The sequence below is a fragment of the Homo sapiens genome, chromosome 16 (assembly GCF_000001405.40).
Source record: "Homo sapiens chromosome 16, GRCh38.p14 Primary Assembly".
NCBI lineage: Eukaryota > Metazoa > Chordata > Mammalia > Primates > Hominidae > Homo > Homo sapiens.
The window spans coordinates 9,306,649-9,315,274 of NC_000016.10; the positions used below are offsets into that span (position 1 = coordinate 9,306,649).

At 46.1% G+C, this 8,626-nt stretch overlaps 2 annotated features.

Moving 5' to 3' along the window:
* Positions 4,538–5,039: an enhancer, noted in NCBI's record as "OCT4-NANOG hESC enhancer chr16:9405043-9405544 (GRCh37/hg19 assembly coordinates)". NCBI's record gives its function as "activates a minimal SCP1, AML or CMV promoter by ChIP-STARR-seq in naive H9 embryonic stem cells {active_cell/tissue: H9 hESC(naive)}" and the evidence as "EXISTENCE:reporter gene assay evidence [ECO:0000049][PMID:30033119]".
* Positions 7,332–7,556: a silencer, noted in NCBI's record as "fragment chr16:9407837-9408061 (GRCh37/hg19 assembly coordinates)". NCBI's record gives its function as "represses an EF-1alpha promoter that drives an FKBP-Casp9 reporter gene in an ReSE screen in HepG2 liver carcinoma cells {active_cell/tissue: HepG2}" and the evidence as "EXISTENCE:reporter gene assay evidence [ECO:0000049][PMID:32094911]".

Genomic DNA, 8,626 nt, shown 5'->3' on the forward strand with positions numbered 1-8,626 from the left:
TAATATAGCCTGGGGTTCTTCCAGACTCAGTCCTTTGCTTCCCCTCCTGCCTTGCATCAGAAATATTCTCTGGTCCATCCACACCAAGCAAGAATGGCGAGTAACATGTTTACTATGGGCCAGCTAACATTTTACACACATTTTCTCCTTCATTCAAACTACCAGGAGTGCCTTCAAAACAGACATGAACGTTTTTGCCTTTGAGCTTGAAAGTCCTCCATGTTCCCTTTCTCAATCACTCCTACTCACCCCTCAAAACCCCATTCAGGCACACTCTCCTCTGTCAAGCAGTTAAGAGCATAAACCCTGAATCCAGCTGCCTATCTAGGTTTGCATCCTCCTCTGCCTCTTACTTGCTGTGTGTTCTTGAGCAGGTTGCTTCACTTCTCTGTGCATCGGTTTCCTTTTAAAACATGGGATGATGATAATATTTACCTCACAGCATTGAAGATTAAATGCGATAATGAGAGTGTGTGAAATAGTACTTGCTACATAATAGGTGCCCAGTGAGTGTTAACTATTACTATTATTACTTGACTTTCTTTGACCTCTCCCCCATCACCATCCTATTGCACCTGCTAGGAGCTAGGTCTCACAGGGTATTTCTGGATTTATTAGGAGGTGTTCGTAAGAGTTTGTAGAAGGAAAGAATGTGATATAGATACGTAGTAGCCACATTTTATAGGATTGGTTGCTAAACTCAGCAAGCAAGCAAGCAAACAAACAAACAAAACAACCCAACCCCAAATAAACTTCTCAGCTCCATGTAAACAGATTCCGCTGCCACTGAGGAAATTCTGTTACGGTTTTCCTGGGCAGATTGAGATTCTAGATAGTGTTTGGGGGCTTTTAAGAATTTAGCCTAATAAGGGGTGTTAGCTAATGATAAGGAAGGAGATCAGGCTTGGGAACTCCACCCTGGGCAGCTCTGAAATTACTGGCCCTGGAGCTGGCAGAACTCCAGAAGTCCAGGTTCATTAGTTCTGTCTGCCCAGCAATGATGGCAGCAGTAGGAATAATAATCTCTCGTATTCACAGAGGGCTTTACTCGTTCTCATTTTCGCCCTCTCTTGCTCTGTGCAGCCATTGCATGCTGGAGTTTATAGTATTACAGCTCTGCCCTGGCTGGTTGTCTGACTTGGCCAACCCTCTTTACTTGTTTGAGCCTCATTTTCCTAATTTATAAAATGGAGCCCAATACTACTTATCTTATGGGTTGTTGTGAAAAGTGAGGTTTAGATCAGAAGAGGCATAGAGTTGGTGGTGGGCTGTTAAATCAGCTCTTTGAAACAGAAGCCCTGATGTGTAGTGTTTGTCAATTTCCAAGGTATACACAGTCCTTCCATGGTGGATTCCAAGCAGCCAATGTGACATCACTGAGTAGATTTGGGAAGAGATATGTGCCATCTACTTTTCTGTGCAGCTGTGAGCTGACTCCAGCACATTCTGTTAAACCTCTTACACTAACTCTGCCTTATTAGTCAGTGGCTTCCCGATGTGGTGCTGAGAAAGATTCTGAGGCTGTGTCTGGGAACAGAGGAAGGGGGTAATTAAATTCATTATGGCTGTCTGCCATGGCTGATGGAGGAGAGATGGCACATATATGTAGGGACTTATTATCCCTGGATTTATGAGACTGTATGCAAAAGTCCTTTCAGGGTTTGACACCCAGTAGGCATTCAACCAATGGTACATATTGCAACTGGGTGAAGTGACAAGGATCGTTTCTTGTTTTTCATACATTGGCACTTGCTGAACACACAGGCAGCAGTTAACTGTGCCAAGGGTTGATAAGTGCCACCGAAGCACAAGGCAGTGTGGTGTAAAGGACAAAGGTTGGGCTTTATGACCTGGGCTGGTATTCTAGCCCATTGGTCATGCGACCTTGGGAAAAATGGCTCATCCTCTCTGATACTCAGTTTTCTCACCCACAAAAAGGAGACATTACTGGAGAGATTGAATATTACATCCATTAAAATGAAGCGTGGGAGCTATCGCTGGTGTGTTTTGTAAGTGGCGGTTTCCTTTCCCCTGTTCACTTTGAAGCTGCAAGTGGATTGTTGACCCGTGGCCAACTCAGTGCCATAAACCCTGAAAATCCTGGTGATGATTTCCAAGCAGCAGTAAAACTCAGAATCACTCACACGACTTCTTGTCCCACTTAAAATTTTCCCTGAGTTATTCTTTTCCTTTTGCAAATAGAAACAAGAATACAATGGAAAAAAGTGCTACCTACCCAAACTCTGCAGGTAAATATCCATAAGTAGTTCAAGCCTAGGAACGGCCTTCAATGACGGACAGGGCGGTTTTGTTTTTGTCACATGCCGGGTTCATTATAATCCTTGGAAAAGCAGGTTCCCAGAGAAATGCTGATACAGCTTGTCTCTGTGTTGCTATGATACATGCAAAGCATCACACACAATTAGATCCTGAAATACGGACCCAAGTTTTTAATTACCGAGTTCCTGCCTGTCTTGCAGGGGAGCTTTGGTCACTGTGTACTGATAAGTGCTGCCTTTTGTGTTATTTCCTTTGTGGATAACAAGACTAATTGATCCCCACAATTTGGCTTCTTTTTATTTGGAAGATGTAGGCAGGAACTTGGGCTCAAGTTGAGGAGCCAGTTCCTCCATGAAACAGACTCTCAGGAGGGCAGTGAGGGGCAGGCAATGAGGGGTGCAAGATTCGAGCGTGCAAACACGGAGTGGCACTCACTGTTAACTCTGTGTGTATTTATAGAAGTCATTTAACTGCTGTGGTTACAATGAGGACTTTTTCCTTGGCTGATTTGATCGAGGGGTCTATGGTTTTGCCTTTGGGATGCTAGTGGACACGTAAATCACACGGGTGGGTGGTGTCCTGATAAATGCAAGATTCTAAGTGAGTTGGTCTAAGGTGAGGGCCGAGACTCTGCATTTCTGTCTAACAAGTGCCTGGCTGATGCCAATGCTGCTGGTTTCTGACCCAGTCTGTACTTTGAGTAGTTGAAAGGAGCATGAAAGCAGTTTGGAAAGTTATTGTACCTTGTAAGGCATTTTATATGGAAAACACTAACATAGAAATTTCATCAGCTGCCCAGCTAGATAATGCTTACTATGTACCTTGGAAATACCCAGTGGTGCACTAAGATTGGAGGCAGTGACCTGGATTGTAACTCACTGATGCCTCTGGGCAGTAAAGGGAATAGACAGTAAGGGCATTGGCCCCAGAAAGACCTGAGTTGGAGCCCTGGCTCTGCTCTTTTATGGATGTGTGATCATAAACAAGTCAGCTCTCCTGTCTTGGCCTCAGTTTCTCTGTCTGTTACATGGGTATGACATCACCATCCCAGGGTGGGTTGAGAGGTTAAGCAAGATGAAAAGTGTAGTGGCTGTCCCAGTGCCTGGCTCATGGTGGACCCTCCTTCAGCACGTGTCACAGGTGCACACTGCTTGAGAGTCCCCACCCTCTGTGACACTGGTTCCTCAGGTCAGGGCTCAAAGGGGAGGAAGTGATGGCATCTCCGAGGCAGCCTTCAGCTCTCACAGCCTTGGTCCAGGATGGAGTGATCTGACTCTCCAGGGACCTTGCAGGCTGTTCCTCCTAAGTCAGCAGAAAGGGCTGCAGTGATGACAGCCCAAGCCTATCCCAAGTCTCATTATCCACCCCAGCATTCCTGCCAGCCGTCAGCAGGCTCCATTCCCATGAAGACCAGTGATGCTTGCACCAAGGCCAGTAGCCTTTGAGATTCCTGAGTCAGAAAGACCTAGGTCTTAAACCTCATCCAAGAGCCTTGGTCTTCTCATCTGTAGAAGGAGGTTAATCTTGCCTGCCTTGCATTATCATGTGAGGATCAGAGAGGATCGTGATGAAAATCAGAGTAGCTCCCTCCTTCCATCCGCAGCACTGGGCTCAGAGCTTTGCATGGAGCATTTGAGTCCAGGCCTGAGACTCCCACAAGCATTAGTCTCATTAAACTGCCCAGTTTACAATAGAGGGAGCTGAGGCTCAGAGAGGTTAAGTAACATGCCTGAGGGCACACAGCTGGTGAGGGACAGAGTCAGGATTTGAATCTAGAAGCCCAACTCCTGGGAGTTAGAAAAGCCAGCAGCTAGGTGCTACTGGCTCCCAACTTGTTTTTTTCCAGAATCTAACATGGGAGTGACAGGCAGGGCTGGGCCAGGGTGGAAAGAGTACCACTGCTTGATGAGGGTATTAACATACGCAAAGGCATCTCTTTTTGATGACTTTGTGTCTGGGTCCTCTGGGCTTATTGTTACATGATCTCTCCAGCACATTTTAATCAAATATTATGGTTGTGTGATCATAAGAAGGTCAGCTCACCTGTCTTGGCCTTGCTTTCCCTATCCCTTAAATGGAATGATGTCACCCTCCCTCGATGGTCAGAGGGTTAGTAACATGATGGATGTAAAGGACCTGCTGGTCAAGGTATTATGTTAGCAGCTGAAGAATATGCTCAGTGAATGTCTGTACTCCCTGTGCCTGTGCTCCACTAGACCCTGACTCTCCAAACTCTCCTGCCTTGTATGTGTCTAAGATAGCTTGGGCATAGTTAGGGTTTCAACATTTGGAAGGTGTCATATTTGAGCAGCAAGACCTGTGCCCAGGTTGTCTCCAGTCCTGACTGTAGCCTGTGTTGTCAAGGAGAAAGATTCAGGGGCCCTGTCAATCTTTCTAGCAGGAAAGAAAAAAATCCTTAAGACAGCAGGGCCGTAGACAGGGCAGGCAGGATGATGGGCAGCTGCAGAAGCCAGCTGGCTCTGCAGCCAGTCTGTGAGGCAGCAGCTACAGCTTCCTAATGTTAAGGAGGCCCGGCTTCCTGGAGTGCCACTGCGCATTGCAGCAAGTCATGACTAACAAAGCTGTCAGGGGGAAGGGCTTGTTTCCCCCAGCGCACATGTCTCACCAGCTCAAGACTTGTCACTACAGTTATGCCTTTGCTCTAGGCACATGGCCTCTGAAACACCCTCAGGAACCCCCAGGCAAGGAATATACAATATCCATGTCTCTGGGAGTTGGGTGAGGGTGCATTAGGCCAGTATGTGGAGCAGCTGGGGTGCAGGAAAGAGAACAGAAACTTGGAGACTGACTCCAAGCAGCTTAAAGCTGTCTGGCCTCAGCTTTCTCACCTGTAAAATGGGACCAAACACTTTGATTCACAGAGGCAGTGTTATAGAGGGCAAGAGCCTGGCACGTCTGAATTTGTATCTTGGCTCAGCCACTTGGAAGCTGTGCACCCCTGGGAAAATTCCTTCACCTTTCTGAACCTCAGGTTGTTTTTCTGTAAAAAGGGGTCTAATGATGGCACCTAGACCTCATAGAGTTGTTGTGCACATTAAAATAATTAAAATAATGTGTGTAAAATGCTTAGCCTATTGCATGGCAAACAATAAATATTTTTTCCTCTTATTCATGAAGTTGTTCATTTATTCCTTCCAGGCACTGGGAAGGGGCTGGGGATGCAAAAGCAAAAAGATCAACAAGAGTTGAACAGACATTTCAAGAGTTTTTGGGAGAATTAGCTGAGAAATGCATGTGAAGGACCTGGCTCCTGTGCTCAGGAAGCCCTAAGGGTCAGTTGAGGCAAGTCCCTGTATGCTCATCCATTCCTGTCCCCTGAAAAACTAATAATAATGAGATCTGTGCCAGGGATTGTTAGAAATGTTAATTCACTTAATTTTATGATATAGAAGGTGTTATTATCCTCATTTTGTAGATGAAGAAACTGGGTCACAGGGAAGTTAAGTAACTTGCCCAGGGTTACAGAGCTGTTGGATGGTGGAGCCAGGATTATAAAGCAGGTAATCTGGTTCCCAGGTCCTTGCTTTTCACTCCTCCACCAGACAGCTTCTTAGGATGGCAGGCTGGGCTCTTGACCTTGCTTTCCATGCCCATCTCCTATCCACTGGCTGCAAGGTCCATGCTGCCCCCAGATTGAAGCCTTAAGAGATGCCTTCTCCAACTTGAGTCAGCTCAGCTCAGCTCAGCTCAGCTCAATTCAGCTCAGCTCAACTCAATTCAGCTCAGCTGAACTCGGCTCAGCTCAGCTCAACTCACCTCAGCTTAACTCAACTCATTTCAGGTAAGCTCAGCTCAGCTCAACTCAACTCAGCTCAGCTAAGCTCAGTTCAACTCAGTTCAGCTCAGCTCAACTCAACTCAGCTTAGCTCAGCTCAACTCAACTCAATTCAGCTCAGCTAAGCTCAGCTCAACTCAGTTCAGCTCAGCTCAACTCAATTCTGCTCAACTCAACTCAATTTATCTCAGCTCAGCTCAGTTCAGCTCAGCTCAACTCAACTCAGCTTAGCTCAGCCCAACTCAATTCAACTCAGCTAAGCTTAGCTCAACTCAGCTCAGCTCAACTCAACTCAGTTCAGCTCAGCTCAGCTTAATTAAGCTCAGCTCAACTCAATTCAGCTCAGCTCAAGCCACCTTAGCTTAACTCAACTCATTTCAGGTAAGCTCAGCTCAACTCAACTCAGCTCAGCTAAGCTCAGCTCAACTCAGCTCAGTTAAGCTCAGCTCAACTCAGCTCAGCTAAGCTCAGCTCAACTCAATTCAGCTCAGCTCAGCTCAGCTTAACTCAATTCAGCTCAGCTAAGCTCAGCTCAACTCAACTCAGCTCAGCTCAACTCAGTTCAGCTCAGCTCAACTCAACGCAGCTCAGCTCAGCTCAGCTCAGCTCAGTTCAGCTCAGCTCAACTCAGTTCAGCTCAGCTCAACTCAACGCAGCTTAGGTCAGCTCAGCTCAATTCAGCTCAGCTCAACTCAGTTCAGCTCAGCTCAACTCAATTCAGCTCAGCTCAACTCAACTCAATTCAGCTCAGCTAAGCTCAGCTCAACTCAGTTCAGCTCAGCTCAACTCAGTTCAGCTCGGCTCAACTCATTTCAGCTCAGCTAAGCTCAGCCCAACTCAGCTTAGCTCAGCTCAACTCAGTTCAGCTCAGATCAACTCAATTCAGCTCAGCTTAACTCAGTTCTGCTCAACTCAGCTTAGCTCAGCTCAACTCAGTTCAGCTCAGCTCAACTCAGTTCAGTTCAGCTCAACTCAGTTCATTTCAGCTCAACTCAATTCTGCTCAACTCAACTCAATTTAGCTCAGCTCAATTCAGCTCAGCTCAATTCAACTCAACTCAGCTCAACTCAGCTCAGCTCAACTCAACTCAGCTCAACTCAACTCAATTCAGCTCAGTTAAGGTCAGTTCAACTCGACTAAGCTCAACTCAATTCAGCTCAGCTAAGCTCAGCTCAACTCAATTCAGCTCAGCTCAACTCAGTTCAGCTCAGCTCAACTCAATTCAGCTCAGCTAAGCTCAGCTCAACTCAATTCAGCTCAGCTCAACTCACTTCTGCTCAACTCAACTCAATTTAGCTAGCTCAGCTCAACTCAATTCAGCTCAGCCAAGTTCAGCTCAACTCAGCTCAGCTCAACTCAACTGAAGTCAGCTCAGCTCAGCTCAACTCAGCTCAGCTCAACTGAAGTCAGCTCAACTCAGCTGAGCTGAGCTCAACTCAACTCAACCCAAGTGAACTCAGCTCAGCTCAATTCAGTTCAGCTCACCTCAGCCTGGGTAAGCCCAACTCAACTGAACTCAATGGAAGTCAGCTCAGCTCAACTCAACTCAGTTCAGTTCAGTTCAGCTCAACTAACTTCAGCTCAACTCAGCTCAACTCAACTAAGTTCAGCTCACCTCAACTCAGCTTAGCTCAGCTCAACTCAGCTGAACTCAACTAAGTCCACCTCAACTCAACTTGGTTTAACTGAACTCAACTCAGCTCACCTCAACTGAACTCAGCTCAATTCAACTGAACTCAACTTGGCTCAACTCAGTGCAGCTCAACTCAACTAAAGCAGAACATGTACCGAGGGGATCCTCAGATGTGAGTGACTACAATGAATGATGAAAAACTTGGGGTCCATATTATATGCTTGTTTTATTCCCTTTGGCTTGATGGGAATCTCATCTCGCTCATTCATGTAAAATAATACCAAGACATTATGTGAGTACACTGCTGTACAGTTTACAAAGCCCTTTTACATATGTAGCTTACTTATAACTATGTTTTCTAAGCCAAGCCAGCTTGGAGGTAGGTAAAAAATGGGAGGGACTGCATGCAGGACAATTAATAATAATACCTACTATTAAATGGACAGCTACTATGTGCTAGGCACAGTGCTAGGTACTTAACAAGCATGATCTTGTTAATCTGGCAACCTGGAAAGTGAGATTATTCTGGGCATTTTACAGATGAAGGAACTGAAGTGTGGAGAGGCTGAGTAGCTTTTCCAAGTCACAAAGCTATAGGAGGTGGAATGGTCGGCTTTCAAAGGCCATATCTTTTCTGCAGTTCCACCCTACTCCCAAGAGCTCACCACTATCTAGGGAAACCAGTCTCCATGTCTCTGAGAAATTAGGGCTCAGAGGACAAAGGATGACCAGGGTTATGTCTTTCCACTACTTGTGAGCCAAGAGCTAAAGGAACTGTAAGCTCCATGCCATAAAGGTTTTGAAAGAGCGAACTTCTGGAACTCCCACTTTATGGACCTAGTATGATTTCACTCCTTACCTAAACATATCCTTGCTGAGCTGACACAATGCCTGCAACCTTCCATTCTTGCTGATGG